This window comes from Homo sapiens, chromosome 20 (genome assembly GCF_000001405.40).
Source record: "Homo sapiens chromosome 20, GRCh38.p14 Primary Assembly".
Classification (NCBI taxonomy): domain Eukaryota; kingdom Metazoa; phylum Chordata; class Mammalia; order Primates; family Hominidae; genus Homo; species Homo sapiens.
In genome coordinates this window covers 50,603,040-50,624,977 of record NC_000020.11, presented here as the reverse complement: position 1 = coordinate 50,624,977, position 21,938 = coordinate 50,603,040, and the positions used below count along the sequence as shown (strand labels likewise).

Genomic DNA, 21,938 nt, shown 5'->3' with positions numbered 1-21,938 from the left:
AATGGTTGGCTCACGTCCTTGTTGCATGGAGTCTTCACCTGAAGCCTGTGCAGTCAGTCCTATAATTGTCCCGCCTGGAGGCTGGGGGCAGGTGCAGGACTTGAGCCCGGCCCTGTCTGCCTCCAGAGCCTGCACTTGCAACAGCCGAGTACCAAGGCCTCTGCCAACCACACCAGGCAGAAGGACTGCTGTAGCAACCTCACGTGAGGGCTGGGGCCGGCAGGTTGCACGTGCCCGTCTGGAAGCTTGTCTGGCATGCCAGGGGCTGTTTAATATTTACTGAGTCCTCCCAGACCTGGTGAAACATCCGGCCCCAGAGGCTCTTCCTGCCCCGGCTTCTGTGACACCTGGGCCAGACATGCTGCCTGATTTGGCCATCTGGAGGCTGCATGTGCATCACCTTCCCCGGGTGGGCGGGCTCTCAGAGTGGCCACTGAGCCTGTCCTGTTAAACCTCACACAAGGAGCACTAGGCTCAGAGCTTTCCCGGGAGCAGGTGCATCCAGGTGTGGCTGCAGCAGCGAGGGTATAAGGTCCCCAGGTGGATGGAAGCGGGGCTGGGCCAACGGTGCACACCTGTTGGGGGCTGGAGGCAGGAGCTGGGAGTGAGCGAGCTCCTGCCCCACTGCCTGCTGCCCACCTGCCGGGGTCCCTAACCTCTCAGAAACCTGCCTTTTCCCGAGTCTGCAGCCCTGACCGTCTCTGCCAGCCTCAAGATGGCAAACTTGCGGAGGGCCCGGTTCAAGAGGTGGGTGATGGGGCCTCAGGGAGGGCAAGGGGAAGAGGGAGCACAGCCCCTGTGGGCTTTGGAAAGCATCACTTAACATTAAATATATACAAATGGCTGGGTGCAGTGGCTCATGCCTGCAATCCCAGTACTTTGGGAGGCCAAGGCGGGCAGATCACCTGAGGTCAGGAGTTCAAGACCAGCCTGGCCAACAAGGTGAAGCCCTGTCTCTACTAAAAAAAACAAAAATTACTGGACGTGGTAGCAGATGCCTGTAATCCCAGCTACTGGGTAGGCTGAGGCAGGAGAATCGCTTGAACCTGGGAGGCGGAGGTTGCAGTGAGCAGAGATCGTGCCACTGCACTCCAGCCTGTCGACAGAGCGAAATTTCATCTCAAAATAATAATAAGAATAATACCTGTCTCCTAGGGTGGTTGTGAAAGTCGAGATATTTCTATAAAGCCCTTAGCGAGCTCCTGGCGGCAGCAGGTGCCCCCAGTTACTTAGGCTCACGTGTTCTCACCAGGCTCCTGAGGCCCTTGGGCTTGTGGTGTCAGCTGTTCAGCAGCCCACTAGCCCTGGCCTGAGCTTAGTTTCTCTGCTCTACAGAGACATTACTTGTCATTGTAAAGGTGTTGGAAGCTGGACTTTCTCTGGGAGCTGCCCTTCTCCTCCTCTCACACATCCTGGGTCCCCAAAACTAGAGAGGCCCCAGGTCCAGGCCCCTCTGCAGACTCCCACTTCTGCCTGGGTCAAACCTTGCTCCTTGCATCCACTCCCAGAGCATACCAGGTCCCATTCTCCACCTTTGCTCCCTCTGTCTCCAGCTGGGAACACCCAGGGGTGCACTCGCTATCCCGCTCTGCCTGCAGGGGCCAGGTTCTCTGTTCTCTAATCCCCTTGGGATACTGTATTTTCCCCCGTTCAGCTGAGCTTAATATTTACCAAACTCCTAATATTTTCTTTTTTTTCTTTTTTTTTTTTTTTTTTTAAGGCAGAGTTTTGCTCTTGCTGCCCAGGCTGGAGTGAAGTGGCATGATCTCGGCTCACTGCAACCTCTGCCTCCCGGTTCAAGTGATTCTCCTGCCTCAGCCTCCCGAGTAGCTGGGATTACAGGTGTCCACCACCACGCCTGGCTAATTTTTTGTTTAGTAGAGACGGGGTTTCACCAGGTTGGTCAGGCTGGTCTTGAACTCCTGACCTCAGTTGATCCACCCACCTTGGCCTCCCGAAGTGCTGGGATTATAGGTGTGAGCCACAGTGCCTGGCCTGCACCTAATGTTTTCTAAGCTGTGAGCCAGGGGAAAGATACAGATAGGATGTGATGATTCTAACAACAGCTTGCATGTAAAAGGTCTCCTTTGTGCCACATTTTGGGCCTGGCATCTAATAGAATTCTCAGCACCATCCTCTGATGTATTACGTGGTCCCATTTTACCAGTGAAAAGACAGAGCCTTGGGTAGTGTGTTGTTAATGTAGAGGTGAAGTTGCTTTGATAAAAGGACCCCCAAAATGCAGGTGCTTACTTGAGATTGGTTATTCCTCTCTCTCTCTCTCTGCAGTCCAGAGCCAAGGGGTGGATGAGGGCATGTGTGTGTGTTGGGAGGTCTGCTTCACGAGGCTATTCAGGGCCTGTTCCTTCTCTCTTGTTGTTCAGCCAGCTTTTAGGGGTGGGTTGAAGCTGCTTCCAGCATACCGTTATTCCCGCCCCTGGGAAGAGGAGGAGTTGGAAGAGAAGGGCCAGTAGTCCCCTATAATAACTGATGCTGAGCCAGGCACGGTGGCTCACACCTGTAATCCTAGTACTTTGGGAGGCTGAGGCAGGTGGATCATTTGAGGTCAGGAGTTCGAGACCAGCCTGGACAACATGGTGAAACCCTGTCTCTACTAAAAATACAAAAATTATCCAGGTATGGTGGTGCATGCCTGTAATCTCAGCTACTTGGGAGGCTGAGGCAGGAGAATCGCTTGAACCCAGGAGGTGGAGGTTGCAGTGAGCCGAGATTGCACCATTGCACTCCAGGCTGGGTGACAGTGAGACTCCATCTCAAAAAAAAAAAAAAAAAGAGAACTGATGCCAAAGTTAGATCTAAGAGTCATTTCCACCATGTCTCTTTTGTGAGAATGTTGTCATTAAGTGATGCCTGGTGCCAGGGCGCCTGGCTGATGGCTTTAGAGGGCTAAGAGCAGAATTCAACACATCTGTTGGTGAGCAAAGGCTGCATCAGCCAGCCTCATGGATAAGTTATGGGATCCTGAGAAGAGGCTTAGATGCCAGGGAAACCAGCTCTGTGCTGTGATGAGGGTGCCCTGGCCTCGTACTCCTATAATCAGTCTTGAGATGCTGCTACATCTCTAAATGTTGAGGGACCCAGCCATCACCACTGAAAGGCAGTTTTTAGGATCATCCAGTCCACACTCCCAACTCCAGCTGGCTTAAGCTAAAAAAGAGAGCCAGTTGGCTCATGTAACTGCAAAGTCCACGGGCAGGTTCAGCTTTAGACATAGCTAGATCCAGGAACTCACTGTCATGGAGATTTGGTCTGACTCTGTTTGTTCCTCTCTGTGTTGGCCCCAGTTTCCCTACATGGTGGCAAAAGGAGGAGGCTGGAAGTCCCAGGTATATGTTCCCCAGGTTAGCAATGCCAGGGGAAAAAACACTTCTCCCTTCTGTGAATTCTGAACTCCTGGCTGGCTACTGGCCAGGCTTGATCCCCATACTTCTTGGCCCAGGGGAGCAGAATATGTTGACTAACGCAGGCCTGGAATGTGGATTTGCCAAACAATCCCGTGTGCATGTGTGCATGTGCAAATGTGTGTGTGCATGTTGATTAGTCAGGCTACCTTTCCCCCAAACCACAAGTATAAAAAGCAGAGCTGGGGAGGTGCCCCAGAGGAAAATTGAGGTGCTACTACTAGAGGGAGGGGATGGATGCTGGGCAGGTAAAGCCAACAGATGCTGCCCCAAGGGTAAAGCACAGGACTATGACTTGGCCTCCCACACGGCATTGCCTGCACAGGCAGAGCATGGTGATCAGAGAGCATTGGCATTTGGGCTACTTGACTGTATTTCTTCCTGTAAGTTCATTTCTGATACCAGATTTTTATTACTGTTCTTTTTTTTTTTTTTGTCAAGCTGTTCTATATTTCCGGGAGAGGGCAGGGGAGGGGGCTCAGTCTTTCCTGGCAGTGGCTTTCCTCATGGCGGCCAGGACATTGGCTCGGCTCCTCCTGCTTCCTCTTGGCGTGGATGTGTGTCCCCACCCTTTCCTTGATGAACTTGAGGGCCTGTTTGTCCTTGGAGACCTTCAGTAACTCCATAGCATGCTGCTTGTACAGGGCAAAGCCACACACCTCCCGGATCATGTCCCGCACAAACTCAGTGTATTTGGTCAGACACCCACTGCAGCGGCTGTGCCTGGGCTTGCTCACGTTCTTGGTCACCTTGTGGCCCTTGTTGAGGCCCATGGCCATAGGGTAGCGCAGAGCCATGGCTGCTGCTCTCCAGTGGCAGCCATGGTGGAAAAGCTTTATTACTCTTCTTTTAATCCTCAAATCTAGGCTCCTTATTTTTATTTATTTATTTATTTATTTATTTATTTATTTATTTATTTATTTATTTTTAAGACTGAGTCTCACTCTGTCACCCAGGTTGGAGTGCAGTGATGCAATCTCGGCTCACTGAAACCTCCACCTCCCGGGTTCAAGCGATTCTTGTGCCTCAGCCTCCGGAGTAAGTGGGATTACAGGCACGTACCACCACATCCGGCTAATTTTTGTATTTTTAGTAGAGACAGGGTTTCGCCATGTTGGCCAGACTGGTCTTGAACCCCTGATCTCAGGTGATCCACCCACCTCAGCTTCCCGAAGTGCTGGGATTACAAGTGTGAGCCACCGCACCTGGCCCAGGATCCTAATTTTACAGATGAGAAAGCAGAGACCCAGAGAGGCTCCATAACTTTCTGGAAACCACACTGCTTGGTGGTGATGGGGGTGGGACTGAGCCGGGTCTCCTGACTCCCTGTGGCTCTGGTCACTATTTCCAAAGTGCCTGCCCCTGGGGAGGGCTTTGTCAGGGCCCTTCTCTGACTTCTCTTGCCCTCCAACCCTTCTCACAGAAAGTCCATCAACAGGAACTCCGTGAGATCGCGAATGCCTGCAAAATCCTCCAAGATGTACGGCACGCTGCGGAAGGGGTCGGTCTGTGCAGACCCGAAGCCCCAGCAGGTGAAGAAGATCTTCGAAGCATTGAAAAGAGGCCTCAAGTAAGGCTGGGCTGTGTGCTGCCTTTAAGAAGTGCATTCCTCTACCTCGCCTCCTCTCTGTCTCTTCCTGGGGAAGCGTGGATGGGTCTTGTCTACAAGAGGTGACAGGTTAAGTTCCTGGTCATTCGTTTAGTAAGCAAGTATGTCAGGGTGCAGCCGCGTGCTCAGCCCGGTCCTTGGGCACTGGAAACCTGGCAGTGACTAAGGCAGGAGGACTCTGATCTTGTGGAGCACGCACTGCAGAGGGGCAGATTCAATGCAATCAATCAAGAAGCAATGCAATCAATCATAGAACTTCCACCTGTGCTGAGTGCAATGAAGAAAGGTAACAGAGAGACAGTGCGTCGAGGGCCTCGGCAGACAGGCAACAGTGTGGGCAAAGGCCCCACAGTAGGAGCCTGCACTGTGAGCCCACACACGCAAGAGGTCAGGGCGGTGGGTGTTTGAGTGAAGGACAGACTTGCTCAGAGACCAACTGATGAGCTGGGCCGAGGCCTGCACAAGAAGGATGAGTCACTCCACAAATTTTTTTTTTTTTTTTTTTTGAGATGGAGTCTCGCTCTGTTGCCCAGGCTCAAGTGCAGTGGCACAATCTCAGCTCACTGCAACCTCTGCCTCTTGGGTTCAAGCAATTCTCCTGCCTCAGCCTCCCAACTAGCTGGGACTGCAGGTACGCACCATCACACCTGGCTAATTTTTTTTTTTCTTTTTTTGAGACGGAGTTTTGCTCTTGTTGCCCAGGCTGGAGTGCAATGGTGTGATCTCAGCTCACTGCAACCTCCGCCTCCTGGGTTCAAGCGTGAGCCACTGCACCTGGCATAGCCTCCTTATTTTACAGATGAGAAAGCAGAGGCTGAGAGTAGCTCTTGCCTCAGCCTACCGAGTAGCTGGGATTACAGGCACCTGCCACCACGCCTGGCTAATTTTTTGTATTTTTAGTAGAGATAGGGTTTCACCACGTTGGCCAGGCTGGTCTCGAACTCCTGACCTCAGGTGATCTGTCCATCTCGGCCTCCCAGAGTGCTGAGATTACAGGTGTGAGCTACCGCGCCCAGCCAATATTTTGTATTTTTAGTAGAGACTGGGTTTCGCCATGTTGGCCAGGCTGGTCTTGAACTCCTGACTCAAGTGATCTGCCTGCCTTGGCCTCCCAAAGTGCTGGGATTACAGACATAAGCCACTGTGCCCAGCCCACAAATATTTATTGGGCTTACAGAGTGCCAGGCCAGGGGACAGAAGTAAACTAAACACACAAAATCCCTACCTCCTGTGGAGCTGACTCCTAGTGGGGGAGAGACAGACAATACACAATACAGAAAAGAAAAGTACAGAGAATATCAGATGGTAGTAAGGGCCACAGAGGAAAACAGGCCAGGGTAAGCAGGCAGAGGCAGGGAGGGTTCATTTTAAGTTGGGCAGTTGGAAGGAAGGCCTTGCTAAGAAGGTGACATTGGAGCACACTCCTGAAGGGGAAAAGAACATTCCAGGCCAGGGTAGCCACATACACAAAGGCCCTGGGGCGCAGCAAGGAGGCCAGCGTGGCTAGAGCCAAAGGAAAGAGGATGAGGTTATGGGGCAATGGGGACCAGATGACAGGGGGCCCTGTGGGCCAAAGAGTGGTTTCTGGAGTGATTTTCCCCAGATATAGTGGTACTTAGACCCTAAATTCTCTCCTACTTACGCCTTTTTTTTTTTTTTTTTTTTTTTTTTTTTTTGAGACGGAGTCTCACTCTGTCACCCAGGCTGGAGTGCGGTGGTGTGATCTCACTCAGCTCACCGCAACCTCTGCCTCCTGGGTTCAAGCTATTCTCCTGCCTCAGACTTCTGAGGAGCTGGGACTACAGGCATCTGCCACCACGCCCGGCTAATTTGTTTTTGTATTTTTAATAGAACGTGGTTTCACCATATTGGTCAGGATGGTCTTGAACTCCTGACCTTGTGATCCACCTGCTTTGGCTTCCCAAAGTGCTGGGATTACAGGCATAAGCCACCACGCCCAGCCCCTACATCTCTTATTTATAGATGGGGCACCCCAAAGAGGAACCAGAGTCAAGTAAAAGTTGAAACCAGGCCAGACGCAGTGGGCCTGTAATCTTAGCACTTTGGGAGGCGGAGGCAGGCGGATCACGAATTCAGGAGTTTGAGACCAGCGTGGCCAACATGGTGAAACCCCGTCTCTACTAAAAATACAAAATTAGCCGGCGTGGTGGGGCATGCCTGCAATCCCAGCTACTCGGGAGGCTGAGGCAGGAGAATCACTTGAACCCGGGAGGTGGGGGTTGTGGTGAGCCAAGATCGCGTTATTGCACTCCAGCCTAGGAGACAGAGCAAGACTCAAAAAAAAAAAAAAAAAAAAAGGGAAACCACCTTAGAATGAAATGGTTTTCAAAATAGACATCCTTGGCTGGGCACAGCGGTGGCTACCCTGTAATCCCAGCACTTTGGGGGGCCGAGGCAGGCAGATTCCTTGAGCCTAGGAGTTCAAGACCAGCATGGGAATATGGCAAAATCCTGTAGAGGTGGAGGCTGCAGCAAGCTGGGATTGTGCAGAGTGGGAGCTGGGATGTGCATGGACGATAGAGCATGTTTCTGAAGGACAGATTCTGTGTCCTTTAAGGACCACATGTTTGAGACTTGTCTGGGGCCAAGGCAGCCCCTTCTTCCCAGAGAGCTCAATACCTCAGTGAGTAGCAGTCTGGCAGAAGCTATCTTTTCCACATTTGAGGTGGTGTCAGTAGAGCCCAGAGAGTGTGAGTGACCTTCCTGGGATGACTCAGCAAATCCAGCAAGATGGGACTCCCTGCCTTGGCCCCCAAATCTAGACGCCCCCCACCTTCTTTGTTTTGGAATGAAGTCTCGCTCTGTTGCCCAGGTGGGGTGCAGTGGTGCAATCTCGGCTCACTGCAACCTCTGCCTCCCAGGTTCAAGCAATTCTCCTGCTTCAGCCTCCCGAGTAGCTGGGACTACAGGTGTGTGCCACCATGCCCGGCTAAGTTTTTGTATTTTTAGGAGAGATGGGGTTTCACTGTGTTAGCCAGGATGGTCTCGATTACCTGACCTTGTGATCCGCCCACCTCGGCCTCCCAAAGTGTTAGGATTACAGGCGTCAGCCACGGCGCCCGGCCTAGACCCTTGACCTTGAGGGAGGTGTGCCATGATGACCTCCCCATGAGCTGGGCCCCAGCTTGGGAGGGGGTATAACATGGGGATGAAGATTTTGGGCTCAGAAGGCCACTGTGTGGTTTCAGACGTGGGTTCAGCCTCTTCTCTGCTGTGTGACCGGGGCTGGGGTACTTGCTGCTTTCAAGGGTTGGTTTGTCTATCTTTAAAATGCATATACTAGGTTGGATGCGGTAGCTCACCCCTGTAATCCCAGCACTTTCGGAGGCCAAGGCAGACAGATCACCTGAGGTCAAGGAGTTCGAGACCAGCCTGGCCAACATAGTGAAACCCCATCTCTACTAAAAATACAAAAATCAGCCAGGTGTGGTGGCACACACCTGTAGTCCCAGCTGCTCAAGAGGCTGAGATATAAGAATCATTTGAACCCAGGAAGTAGAGGTTGCAGTGAGCTGTGATCACACCACTGCACTCCAGCCTGGGCGAGAGAGGGGGGACCTTGTCTCAAACAATAAATAAGTAAAGAAAGAAAGAAAATGCATATAATAACAGTAGAAGCTACTTGTGGGCCTGGTGGGGGAATTAACTAGGAACTTCCCTGTAACCAATTTTGTGTGGTGCTGGGCACACAGCCCCCAGTGTGAGGGAGCCTGGCTTCCTACCTGCCTCTGAGCCCCGCTGAGCCCCGTGTCTGCTCTCCACGTGGGGACATTGTCCATTTGGCCTACTTCCTTTCCCTTTCTTCTTCCTCTTCCATTTGAAACTCTTCCTTGCTTTCCTTGCAGGGAGTATCTGTGTGTGCAGCAGGCTGAGCTGGACCACCTGTCTGGACGCCACAAAGACACCAGGAGGAATTCCAGGCTGGTGAGACCCCTCCCTGCCTGCTTCCCACCCAGATAGCCTTGGCCAGGAGTAAAAGATGAACCCTGCGTTCCTTCTAGCCTATGTCACGGTGTGACTCTTTCTCAGAACTAGAGGTTTATGGAATAGCCTCTTCACGTTGCACTGAGTTAACTTCACTTTGGCACGTACAGCAGTTCACACGTTTTAGGCCCATGTCACACTGTCTCTCGGTTCTAGAAGTAATGCTAAGGTGGGCAGTGTATGGAGGTGCATTTCTTTTAGGTGGTCCTATTTTATAGACCTTGGCCATCAGGTGACCTGGACTTGGGATGGCTTCTGTAATGCCAGGAAAGTGGGTCAGGTGTCACATCTTGGGTATGTCACAGTGGCCTCTGCCGCTGTCCTTGATGAAGCCTGCGTGTTCCTTCAATGCCCAGCTGACAGGCAGCGTTTCCTGCCATCATCAGGGCAGTGTCTTTTTTTTTTTTTTTTTTTTTTGAGACAGGATTTCCCTTTGTTGTCCAGGCTGGAGTGCAGTGGCACAATCCCGGCTCACTGCAACCTCCACCTCCTGGGCTCAAACGATCCTTTTACCTCAGCCTCCCAAGTAACTGAGACTATAGGCATGCACCACCATGCCCAGCTAATTTTTTAAATTTTTTGTAGATACAGGGTCTCATCATGTTGCCTAGGCTGGTCTTGAACTCCTGGGCTCCAGCAATCCTCCTGTGTCGGCCTCCCAAAGTGCTGGGATTACAGGTGTGAGGCACTGTGCCAGCCAAGGCAGTGTCTTTCAGGCTGGCCCTGGGCCCTGTGTTGCCCAAGGCTCACCTGCTCTGGTTTTTTGCCTCTCCCTTAGCAGAGACCGACTTAGCAACACACACACACACACACACACACACACACACACACACTCACAAATAGCATGCCCCATTAAATTTGTTTGTTTTGTTTTGTTTTGTTTTTGAGATGGAGTCTCACTCTGTTGCCCAGGCTGGAGTGCAATGGTGTGATATCGGCTCCCTGCAACCTCTGCCTCCCAGATTCAAGCGATTGTCCTGCCTCAGCCTCCTGAGTAGCTGGGATAACAGGCACCCGCCACCACGCCCAGCTGTTTTTTCACATTTTTAGTAGAGACAAGGTTTCACGTTGGCCAAGCTGGTCTCAAACTCCTGACCTCAAGTGATTCGCTTGCCTCTGCCTCCCAAAGTTCTGGGATTACAGGCATGAGCCACTGTGCCCGGCCTCCCATTAAATTGGTTTTTCAGACAAATCACAAATTTGTTTAGGTATAAGTATATCCCATGTAATCTTTGGGACATACTTATGCTAAAATAATTGTTCCTTGTTGATTGGAAATTTTAATTTTAATTAGGTGTCCTGTATTTTATCTGGTGACACTGCTAGGATCCCATTGCTCAGGGACTTCATCCTTTCAGCAGGAGGATCTTCCTTTCATCTGGGAAGTCTCTCCGCTGCTGCCTTGAGAAAACCCCACATGTCCTTAATGAATTAGATTTGGAGACAAAAGCAAGGAGGCCTTGCTACTGTGGGATTCTCCTCCCAGCCAGTGTTTCCCAGAATCCCTCCTCCAAAGCACCAATGTGCAGAACAGGCCACCAGCTTGACTGAGGGACTGGGAAAGCGAGGAGGGGAGATGAGTTTTTCTACCAAAATAGCATCCAGTGGCTCAGCACAGTGGCTCACGCTTGTAGTCTCAGCACTTTGGGAGGCCAAGGCGGGTGGATCACTCGAGATCAGGAGTTTGAGACCAGCCTGGCCAACATGGTGAAACCCCATCTGTACTAAAAATACAAAAATTAGCCAGGCGTGGTGGCGGGTGCCTGTAGTCCCAGCTACTCGGGAGGCTGAGGCAGGAGAATAGCTTGAACCCAGGAGGCGGAGGATGCAGTGAGGTGAGATCGTACCACTGCACACCAGCCTGGACGATAGAGCCAGACTCTGTTTCAATGAATGAATGAATGAATGAATGAATGAAATAAGCAAGCAAACAAGCGGCCGTCTCTGTATCCTGGCTCCAGCAGAGAGGGCCTCGGGGTGGGCAGGGTAGGAGAGGCAAGGACCCAGCCTCATGTGTGTGCCAGGGACTTGGGGAGGGAAAGGCCTGCCAAGCTCAGCATGCCTCACCCTTAGTGGACAGTTGGGCGGGTGACCAGCAGCAGATGGTGGGAGAAGGTGCTGCCAAGATATCACCCAGCTCCAGCACCTGCCCCTCTTCTCACATGGGTACAGTGAGTCTCACCCCGTGGACTTCGTTTCCCATTCTTTCCATTCTAGAAGTAACTCTAAAGCAGGCAAGAGTATAAATACTTGTATGTTTTAGCTGCTCCCATGTCATAGATGGGCACACTGAGGCCAGGGCACAGTGACCGCACTGGAGCCACACAGCAAGATGCCCATGTCGAGTCCTGCTCCCATGACACTGCTGGTTCTCATTGAAACAAGATGTTGGTTTTTGAGACGTTGCTGGGTAGTCACTCTTCTTTTCAAAGGCTTGGGATCTTTCCTCTTTCTTTATTTATTTCTTTTCTTTTCTTTTCTTTTTTTTCGGGATGGATTCTCGCTCTGTCACCCAGGCTGGAGTCCAGTGTCACGATCTCCATTCACTGCAAACTCTGCCTCCCAGGTTCAAGTGATTCTCCTGCCTCAGCCTCCTGAGTAGCTAGGATTACAGGCGCGCACAATCATGCCAGGATAATTTTTGTATTTTTTATTTAGTAGAGAGGGGGTTTCACCATGTTGGCCAGGCTGGTCTCCAACTCCTGACCTCAGGTGATCCACTCACCTCGGCCTCCCAAAAGGCTAGGATTATAGGCATGAGCCACCACACCCATCCTGTTTCTTTATTTCTTAAATGGAGTTTTAATTGTTTCTTAATTTTAAAAAGATTTTATTTATTTATTCTTAAAGTGACAAGGTCTTACTCTGTCACCCAGGGTGAAGTGCAGTGGTACGATCATAGCTCTCCGTAACCTCAAACTCCTGGGCTCAAGCAATCCTCTTACCTCAGCCTCTCAAGTAGCTGGGACTACAGGTGTGTGCCACCATGCCCAGTTAATTTTTAAATTTTTTGTAGAGATGGGGTCTTGCTGTGTTGCCCAGACTGGTCTTGAATGCCTGGGCTCAGGTGATCCTCCTGCCTTGGCCTCCCAAAGTGCTAGGATTACAGGTGTGAGCCACTTCACCTGGCTTAAATGGAATTTTTATTTCATTATCGCATATGTACAATTCCACATAAATACATACATGGGACTTTTTGGGGTTGAATCCTTCTTTCTTTCTCGATTGACGCCCTCCTCTATTCAATCTTCCGTGTCCCATCCCGTTTAACCCTTGAGAACAATCTTTTATTGATCTTTCCATATTTTTCTCTCTGGTCACATAATCATGTAAATGTGTTTAGCAATTGTGAGTTAAAATTGTCTTACAAAAATGAAATGTCAATTTACATACTCTCCTACAGCTTACTTTTCCTCCCTGGTGGATCTACAACCCCATGGTAACCCCTCCAGACTCAGACATAGTGACTCTAATCTCCACTGGAAATTAACAGCCAGTGAAAATTAGAGTCACTATATTTTAAAATTAGAGTCACTTAAAAAACAAGAGTTTTTTTAAACACTTGTTTAAAAAAATGTTTCTTGACCACACTTGTTCATGTACATATTGTCTGTGGCTGCTTTCCCACTATGATGGCAGAGTTGCTTAGTTAGGACAAAACTTTGACCCTGATGAATTTAACCCCACAGGCAGGTACAGCACTTCCCATGTCTTAGGTCCACTTCACACTCTTTCTTGGTTCTAGAAGTAACTCTAAGGTAGGCAAAGGTGTGTATGTTTTAGATGGTCCTACTTTTTTTCTTTTTTTTTTTTTTTTGAGATGGAGTCTCGCTCTGTCACCCAGGCTGGAGTACAGTGGCACGGTCTTAGATCACTGCAACCTCCACCTCTGAGGTTCAAGTGATTCTCCTGCCTCAAGTCTGGCAAGTAGCTGGGATTACAGGCATGCACCACCACACCCAGCTACTTTTTATATTTTTAGTAGAGATGGGGTTTCGCCACGTTGGCCAGGCTGGACTTAAACTCCTGACCTCAAGTGATCTGACCACCTCAGCCTCCCAAAGTGCTGGGATTACAGGCGTGAGCCACTGCGCCTGGCCAGGATGGTCCTACTTTATAGATCTTGGCATGGGGCGCCGTGGCCTGCCAAGCCTGAAATATTTACTCTCTGGCCCTTTACAAACCTATAGAAAGGTTTGCCTGCCCTGATGATATATTATTTGTGTTGGTCGCACCCTGGCCCCTGGAATGGATAGACTTAGGAATTCACCATTAAGGCCTGAACTGCTGTGCCATGTGCCCCTCCCGCTTCCATCCCCCTCATGTTCTTTTGTCATGGCCGAGGCCATTCCTTCAATCTCAATGGTTCCCATTTTGTCAAGGGCCTACTGTGTCCTTTTTTCTCCCTGTGAGGTAGGCGCTTCTCCTACCCTGCTTTACATAGGAGGAAACGGAGGCCCAGAAAGGCTGAATGACTTGCCTGGGACACGCAGCTGGGAAATAGAAGAGCCAGACCTAGAACTGCCTCATCCCACGTGCATGTGTTTAATCAGTGCTGTCCTTGGCGTGGACAGCAGTCTGCCGTTGGCAGAGGAAGGAGTGGGTGGGGGTGGCTGTAGACATGGCTTTCTGTCCTCTGACTCTGAGCTCAGGCGCCGCCAGCATAGAGCCTCATAGGCCTTGGAGGAACATGTGGGACTCTGACAGCTTCTTCCGCCCTCCTTTCCTCCCTCACAGGCTTTCTATTATGACCTGGACAAGGTGAGTCTGCATACGGTGAGTGAGGTGGGCTGGGCCTGGCTGGATGAGAATGACTGTGCCTCATTGCATCTTCCTGGCTGCCTGATGGGCAGAAAACCTGGGTCTCCTCCCCATTTTAGGAATGGGAAGGCTGAGTCTCTGCGATGAGCCTTCCTCAGGGATGGTGAGGGGCCCCATTCTCTGAGTTAGGACCTGTAGGAGGGTGGCAGGGGCAAGCGGGGCAGGTGGGTGGCCCAGGCAACTTTGCAAACATCTTCCCTTTTTCCGGGAGAAGCAAACGCGCTGTGTGGAAAGGCACATTCGGAAGATGGAGTTTCACATCAGCAAGGTCAGCTGGCTCGTGGATGTTGCAGGGTGGGGTGGGGCAGTGCCAGCTTGCTGGGCCTCAGCTAGGTTAGCAGGAGCTGGGGAGGTGCCCTCGAAACAGGGATCAGGGCCTCTGGGTATGGGGCAGCTGCAGGAGGCTAAGGATGAGCAGGGGCCTCGGGCCAGTTGAAGGACAGCAGGGGCTCAGCCCTGAGGTGGGAGTCAGGGGGCTCAGCCCTGAGGTGGGACTCCCTGAGGACTGTGTGGGCTCTTTCTTCAGTTTATGCAGAAAGACCTCATGCTCAGTCTTAGATGGCTGGGAAGGTTGAGCCCTCCCAGCCCATTGTACAGTTGGAAAAGCAGAGGTCCAGAGATGAACATGGGTTGGCCCAAGGTCGCATAGCAGATCTGTAAGCTTTAGAGTCTGCAAACGGTTTCATGATCTTGCTTTACTCCCCACACTGCCCAGTGGGTGGCAGGTTATCACAAAGTCATCTCCCATTTCATTGTTGAAAAACCAGGCAGAGGAGGTGAAGGGACAGATTCCCTTGTCCCTTTCACTCATTTTTGCTGTGCACACTGTGTGCCAGTCGCTGCCAGGAGCTGGGTATGCAGCAGGTGAGGCAGGGGTGGCAGGAGAGGCAGGAGAGGCAGGTGAGACAGGGTTGGCAGGGGTGGCAGGAGAGGCAGGAGAGGCAGGTGAGACAGGGTTGGCAGGGGTGGCAGGTGAGGCCGGGGTGGCAGGTGAGGCCGGGGTGGCAGGTGAGGCAGGGGTGGCAGGTGAGGCAGGGGTGGCAGGTGAGGCAGGGGTGGCAGGGGAGGCAGGGGAGGCAGGGGTGGCAGGTGAGGCAGGGGTGGCAGGTGAGGCAGGGGTGGCAGGTGAGGCAGGGGTGGTAGGGGTGGCAGGTGAGGCAGTGGTGGCAGGTGAGGCAGGTGAGGCAGATGTGGTCCCTGCCTATGGGGGTTCATGTTCTACTGGGGCCAGGGGTGACTGCTTTGAATGGGACTGGACAGGTAGTGACTGTCACCATGGGCTGGGCTAGCGGGGTGCTTAGCTCAGGGAGGGCCTCTCCCAGAGAGGAGAAGTCGACAGGCAGGTGTGGGGCCGCCCCTCCGCGTGGGCAGCGCCACCAGCCCGTGTGCCCACCACAGGTGGATGAGCTGTACGAGGACTACTGCATCCAGTGCCGCCTGCGCGACGGCGCCTCCAGCATGCAGCGGGCCTTCGCCCGGTGCCCCCCGAGCCGCGCAGCCCGAGAGAGCCTGCAGGAGCTGGGCCGCAGCCTGCACGAGTGCGCCGAGGTGGGCCGGGCCAAGCTGGGCTGGGCAGCAGGGGCAGCAAGAGCTGGGCCGGGCAGTGGGGACATCGAGAGCTGGGCCAGTGGGGGCTGGAGGAGGTGTTCTGGGCCCCAAGGAGGCGTCTCTCTGCCTGTGGCCTCTGTCTGGCTGCAGGGATGGTTAGAGGCCCTCGTGGCCTAGCCCCAGGCAGCCAGCTGAGCCACCTCCGGGGCTTTGCAGGACATGTGGCTCATCGAGGGGGCCCTGGAGGTTCACCTGGGCGAGTTCCACATCAGGATGAAAGGTAACAGGGCTGAGAGGGGGTGGGCGGAGGCCTTTCTGGAGGCCCTGAGACTTCTGCTGAGGGGCACGGGAATTGGCCAGAATCCCAGGGGTCTGAGCCCAGCCCTGGCTTTTGCATCCATGTGACATGTGACTTCTGGCAAGTCCCACCCCTCTCTGAGCCTGGTGTGAGGGCCCAGCACCCTCTGTCCATTTTCCATCATGATGGTGTACCTCCCCCCCATCCTCACCCCACTGAAACTGAAAATCTATACTCGGGGGAACCCCAGAGAGGACCTGTGGTCCCAGGTCAGGGAGAGTGGAAGGCGGAGGGGAGACCGGCCATGTCTGTGTTCCAGGCTTGGTGGGCTACGCACGCCTCTGTCCCGGAGACCACTATGAGGTACGGCCACTCTCTGGGGTCAATCCTCAGGGCTCCCCGCCAGGTCTTTGGGGGACGGGAGCTGCTGGGAACCAGGGTTGCAGCTGGGGCTCTGCCTGGCAGGGAGGGCCCTGGGCGGACAGCAAGGGGACACCCACCTGGGCTGACGCGGCCCCTCTCGGGCTGGTTCACAGGTGCTCATGCGTCTGGGCCGCCAGCGTTGGAAGCTCAAGGGTCGGATCGAGTCAGATGACAGCCAGACCTGGGACGAAGAGGAGAAGGCCTTCATCCCCACGCTGCATGAGAACCTGGACATCAAGGTGGGGATGGGGCCCGGGGGCAGGGCTGGGGTGCCTGGGTGTTCGGCTCAGACACCACCCTCCAGCCCCCACCCCCAGGTGACGGAGTTGCGGGGCCTGGGCTCGCTGGCTGTGGGTGCAGTGACGTGTGACATCGCCGACTTCTTCACGACGCGGCCGCAGGTCATCGTGGTGGACATCACGGAGTTGGGTACCATCAAGCTGCAGCTGGAGGTGCAGTGGAAGTGAGTCCCGTCCAGCCTGGGGAGAGCGGAGGCCTGGCTGGCTGCCCCTGGTGGCCTGGCCACACTCTGGCCCTGGGTTCCTGCACCAGCCTCTGCCAAGGGTGTCCCTGCCCTCACGGGTCCTCATCTGTCCCTCACTCCCACCCCTCAGTCAGGTCGAGGCCTAGAACTTCTCTGTAGCCCCTGCCTGCCTTTCTGGTTTTGCTTCCCTTCTTGCTTCTGAACCCCTGACTATTAAAGCCACAGGGAAGGTTGGGGGGACACTTTCCGGGGCCTCCCGGGCTTGGCTCCTTGGAGGAGGCTCACCTCTCCAGGAAGGCCCTCCTTGCTGCTCCCACCCCCTCATTCCTGGCCGACCCTGGCTGCCCCCTTGGCCTGGGGCTGAGCGGTCACCTGCGTCCCCCTCTCGGCTGCAGACCCATGAAGCCCATGTCCATGAGATCACTCCCTGGACTGCATGCCCATGAGCGTGGAGGGCTCCAGAGCTCTCTGTTCTAAGGAAGCCTTGCATTTCCAGGGTGTTCCTTTCCTCCTCCTCAGCGCAGAGGCAGCAGAAGGGAGGGCTGAGGACACTCCTCTGCTCTGTGCTTGCTCTGGCCAGTCGGGGCTGGTCTCTCTCCTCTCTCCCTAGGGTGGGTGTCCGAGCTGGGGGTCACAAAGCTGCTGCCCTCTCCCTCGTGAGCTGGGTGAATTCTGTTGAGCGACCACCTGCACCCTCGGGGTCCTCACCTGTCTGGTAGGGCTGAGAATACCCCTCGCCCAGGGGCCCCTGAAGTGTACAGGGTGGCGGGCAGCTCAGTGCCATCCAAGCCTAGGACCCAGGGTGCCTGCGGGTCTGCAGACACCCTGGGCAGAGAAGTGGGCACTTGCAGAGCCTCTGAGCTCTAGGCCTTCTGGTCAGGCCAGGCCCAGGTGCCACGAGCCAGGCCTTTGTGCAAATAATTATAAGCAAGTTTCTTCGAGGCAAATGGATCTATGGGGACCTACCTACTCCGAGTGCAAGGCTGGACACAGGCCAGGCTGAGCATCACGGGCCAGGCTGAGCATCACTTGCCTCGGTGCTCCCATGCGCTCGCCTGGATTCCCACCCTTCCCTGTGCATGTTCCACATGGGGGTTCTTCTGTAAGCGCACCCCTTTTACAGACAAGGGGTCTGAACCGAGTGTCCCCTGCTCATCGGCTGAGCTTCTCAAAGGGGCCTCTAACTGGGGGTGTCCAGTTGTTACTGGTGGAGGGTCTTGACAATGAGTTGTCCAAGTCCCTGGCATTTTGAACAAAGACTTGAACAAAATGCAGAAAAGGAGCAGGGGAATGAAACGCAGGAATGAAGCAGCAGGACTTTATTAAAGCAAGAAAGCAGGTTGGGCGCGGTGGCTCACACCTATAATCCCAGCACTTTGAGAGGCGTAGGTGGGCAGATCACCCGAGGTCAGGAGTTCGAGACCAGCCTGGCCAACAAGGCGAAACCCCATCTCTACTAAAAACACAAAAATTAGCCAGGCGTGGTGGCACGGGCCTATAGTTTCAGCTACTTGGGAGGCTGAGGCAGGAGAATCGCTTGAACCGGGGAGGCGGAGGCTGCAGTGAGCCAAGATGGCGCCACCGCACTCCAGCCTGGGTGACAGAGCAAGACAGTCTCAGAGAAAAAGAAAAAAAAAAAAGGCAAGAAAGCACTCCACAGGGTGGGAGTGGGCCCGAGCATGTGGCTCAAGGGCATGGTTTCAAAGTTTCTGGGCTTTAAGTACCCTGTTTGAGGTTCCTATGGGCTGCCCCTTTTCTGGATAAAGGATTTGGTCTGTGGTTAGAGGCTGAGGTGGATGGCGCCCTATGCAGATAGAGGGATGGTCCCTGTTTCGCCAGCGGCCCATCCATACACCCTCCCTTTCCATCTGAGCCATGGTTGGAGGCAGGAGGGCTGTAGGGAGCGTTGCCTTTGATCCTTTACTACTCAGTGTGGGGAGACGGGGTTTTTCCTTTTGGGTTAGCTTTAGGAAGATTGCGTTAATTGGCCTTAGATTCCCTGTCCCTTCAGACCTTGGTGTCTTTCCTTGATTTAGCATGAATTGACCTGAGGTTTCCTGCCTCCAGATCCTGCTCTCCTGCTCACAGTCACTGTCCCTCACCATCTGGCTAAGGGCCCTCAGGGCGGTCAGAGTCTGAGAAAGGTTTCTTTTTTTCTTTTTGAGACAGAGTCTCGCTCTGTCGCCCAGGCTGGAGTGCAATGGCGCAATCTCGGCTCACTGCAACATCTGCCTCCCAGATTTAAGCGATTCCCCAGCCTCAGCCTCTCAAGTAGCTGGGATCACAGGTGCCTGCCACCATGCCCAGCTAATTTTTTTATGTTTTTAGGAGAGATGGGGTTTCGCCATGTTGGCCAGGCTGGTCTCGAACTCCTGACCTCAGGCGATCCACCCACCTTGGCCTCCCAAAGTGCTGGGATTACAGGCATGAGCCACCACGCCCAGCCTTGAGAAAGGTTTCTAAAGGGGTAGAGGTCATGTAACCTGGAGTTCCTAGGCTGCACCTGTGACCATGGGCAAGGCCCTGGACTTGGAGGCCCAAGCCTCCATTTCCTGTTTTATTTTGCTTTTTTTTTTTTTCTTTTTTTTTGAGATAGAGTCTTGCTCTGTTGCCCCAGACTGGAGAGCAGTGGCATGATCTCGGCTCACTGCAGCCTCCACCTCCCAGGCTCAGGTGCTCCTTCCACCTCTGCCTCCTGAGTAGCTGGGACTACAAGTGTCTGTTGGTCACCACATTAGCCCAGCTAATGTATTCATTTTTTGTAGAGACGGGGGTTTTGCCAGGTTATGGAGGCTGGTCTCGAACTCCTGAGCTCAAGTCATCTGCCTGCCTTGGCTTCCCGAAGTGTTGGGATTACAGGTGTGAGCCACAGCACCCAGCCCATTTCCTCTTAAATCCATTAAGTACAGTGATGTCTGAAGAGTAAGCATCACTCTTAGTGATCTTTAAGGCTTTGGGGTCAGAGAAAATCTGTGTGTGAATTCAGTTCCGTCTCGCGTGGTTGGTTGTGACACTGCCCTAAGCAAGTCACTCATCTCTCAGAGCCTTCCTTTCCTCCCCTGTAAATAATTCTCCAGGCCACAGAGGGTTGTCTTGGGGGTGGAAATAAGGATTTGTGTAAAGAGTTTAGTAGAGGCTGGGCTCAGTGGCTCATGGCCTGTAATCCCAGCACTTTGGGAGGCTGAGGCAGGAGGATTGCTTGAGCCCAGAAGTTCGAGACCAGCCTGGGCAACATGGCAAGACGCTGTCTTTACAAAAAATAAAAATAAATTTAAAAATTAGTCCAGCATGGTGGTACATGCCTGTGGTCATAGCTACACAGGAGGCTGAGGCAGGAGGATCGCTTGAACCCAGGAGTTCAAGGATGCAGTGAGCTGTGGTGGCACCACTGCATTCCAACCTGGGCATCACAGCAAGACCCTGTCTCAAAAACAAGCAACAGTTTAGAGCAGAGCTCCTCACACACCATCCATGCTATTGTATTGTAAGATGAAGACCATCTACCTGCATAACCTAAGAGCCCTGTGGGCCGTCTGGGCCTGAAATGGCCTCTGGGTGCCGATGGCATCCTGACCTTCTGTTCTCTCCTCCAGCCCGTTTGATACTGAGAGCTTCCTGGTGTCACCCAGCCCCACGGGCAAGTTTTCTATGGGCAGCAGGAAGGGCTCCTTGTACAACTGGACACCCCCGAGCACCCCCAGCTTCCGGGAGAGATACTACCTGGTGAGTGAGCCTTCCCGGGGCAGGGCCGCTGTGGTCACCCTGGGATGGGGGCAGCACGCAGGAGCTGGGCTGAGCAGTCTGGCCCTCCCAGACATGGCAAGCCTCGGGCTCAGCTTCCGTTTGAGGCGATCCTGGGTGTTTTCCTGTGCACTTTCTTCCTCTGCTGCCAGCCTCCAACCTAGCCTGGGTTCTGGGCTTGGCTGGTTCTTCAGGACATCTGCAGTGGGCTCTCTGGATGGTTCTAGCACCCCAGTCATGGCCTTGGCCTTAATATATACGTTTCTAGTAGTAGTACTTGACAGAGTGCCCAGTAAAACATCTTTCCTGTTGATCTCCATGGATCAGGGTCCCCTCCTTAATACCAACTCCTGTCATCAGTTTCTTCCATATTCTTCCAGAGACAGCAATCCATCTACCAGCAAGTGTATACGCCTTTTTTTTTCTTTGTTTTTTTTTTTTGAGACGGAGTTTCGCTCTTGTCTCCCAGGCTGGAGTGCAGTCACGCAATGTCAGCTCACTGCAACCTCCACCTCCTCCCAGGTTCAAGCGATTCTCCTGCCTCAGCCTCCCGAGTAGCTGGGATTACAGGCACACGCCACCACATCTGGCTAATTTTCGTATTTTTAGTAGAGACGGGGTTTCACCATGTTAGCCAGGCTGGTCTTGAACTCCTGACGTCAGGTGATCCACCCGCCTCGGCCTCCCAAAGTGCTGGGATTACAGGCATGAGCCACCGTGCCCAGCCCTCTCTGGACTTCAATTTCTGTATCAGAGAAGTGAGAATAACAGCACTGCCCTTATGGGATTACTGTGAGAGTTAACTGAGTTAATGAACATCAACCATTATCATTGGTTCAGCTGATGAGAGGTAAGGGTTCGTGTCCGTGTACCCAGATTCACACTGTGGCACTGTACTCACCACCCGTGTGGCCTAAGGACCTCTCCGAGGTTAGGGCAGTGCCACCCCCATGGGGTGTGGTGAGGGTAATGGGAAGGCCCTGGAATAGGGCCGGCAACCTCAGAATACTTAATGACAGCTGCTGCTGTTTCTATGGTGTGTTTGTCAGGCCCTTCATTCATTCATTCACTTCATTCATCCAAAACTAGGCTGGGTGCAGTGGCTCATGCCTGTAATCCCAGTACTTTGAGAGGCCGAGGCGGGTGGATCACCTGAGGTCAGGAGTTTGAGACCAGCCTGGCCAACATGGTGAAACCCCGTCTCTACTAAAAATACAAAAATTAGCCAGGCGTCATGGAGTGCCACTGTAATCCCAGCTACTCAGGAGGCTGAGGCAGGAGAATTGCTTGAGCCCAGGAGATGAAGGTTGTAGTGAGCCAAGATAGTGCCACTGCACTCCAGCCTGGGCAACAGAGCGAGACTATTTCAAAACAAAACAAAACAAAAACCGAAACTATATGCCAGCCTCTGCTCCAGGCCAGGCAAAGACTGTGCCCTCAGGGAGCTGAAATTCTACAGGGGAAACAGATGATATCAAAATCCGAGAAGTGCACAGCCAGCCCCAGGGGCATAAGGACTGTGGGAGACAGCAGGAAGGGAAGGGGCCCACTGGGGCCAGGTAGAAATTGCCACTTAAAAAAGGCTGT

At 53.2% G+C, this 21,938-nt stretch overlaps 1 protein-coding gene, 1 non-coding gene and 1 pseudogene across 15 annotated transcripts in view, besides 2 other annotated features; 2 read left to right on the top strand and 1 right to left on the bottom strand.

The window, feature by feature from the left end:
- Nucleotides 1-21,938, top strand: part of RIPOR3 (RIPOR family member 3) — a 105,435-nt gene that overhangs the window by 66,565 nt on the left and 16,932 nt on the right. For 11 of the 14 annotated variants that reach the window (NR_110890.2, XR_936505.3, XR_936506.4 and 8 more), the window contains 10 exons: nt 4,846-4,992; nt 8,898-8,976; nt 13,774-13,797; nt 14,072-14,125; nt 15,256-15,405; nt 15,622-15,685; nt 16,023-16,066; nt 16,240-16,365; nt 16,444-16,589; nt 20,204-20,333. Coding sequence is in view for 11 of the 14 variants with exons in the window: in NM_001290268.2 (NP_001277197.1) it covers nt 4,846-4,992; nt 8,898-8,976; nt 13,774-13,797; nt 14,072-14,125; nt 15,256-15,405; nt 15,622-15,685; nt 16,023-16,066; nt 16,240-16,365; nt 16,444-16,589; nt 20,204-20,333 (964 nt within the window). In the remaining 3 variants the exon portion in view is untranslated. Of the gene's footprint in view, nt 1-4,845; nt 4,993-8,897; nt 8,977-13,773; nt 13,798-14,071; nt 14,126-15,255; nt 15,406-15,621; nt 15,686-16,022; nt 16,067-16,239; nt 16,366-16,443; nt 16,590-16,620; nt 17,326-20,203; nt 20,334-21,938 lie in introns of those variants that run through there. The other 3 variants (XM_006723713.5, XM_017027681.1, XM_011528585.3) reach the window with 3 other exon arrangements.
- On the bottom strand, nt 3,854-4,252 carry RPL36P2 (ribosomal protein L36 pseudogene 2; annotated as a pseudogene).
- Nucleotides 7,478-7,978: an enhancer, noted in NCBI's record as "H3K4me1 hESC enhancer chr20:49233537-49234037 (GRCh37/hg19 assembly coordinates)". NCBI's record gives its function as "activates a minimal SCP1, AML or CMV promoter by ChIP-STARR-seq in primed H9 embryonic stem cells {active_cell/tissue: H9 hESC(primed)}" and the evidence as "EXISTENCE:reporter gene assay evidence [ECO:0000049][PMID:30033119]".
- On the top strand, nt 10,193-10,342 carry MIR1302-5 (microRNA 1302-5). Its single transcript, NR_031634.1, has one exon. It is a non-coding gene; the product is annotated as a microRNA 1302-5 (primary transcript).
- Nucleotides 13,951-14,451: an enhancer, noted in NCBI's record as "H3K4me1 hESC enhancer chr20:49227064-49227564 (GRCh37/hg19 assembly coordinates)". NCBI's record gives its function as "activates a minimal SCP1, AML or CMV promoter by ChIP-STARR-seq in primed H9 embryonic stem cells {active_cell/tissue: H9 hESC(primed)}" and the evidence as "EXISTENCE:reporter gene assay evidence [ECO:0000049][PMID:30033119]".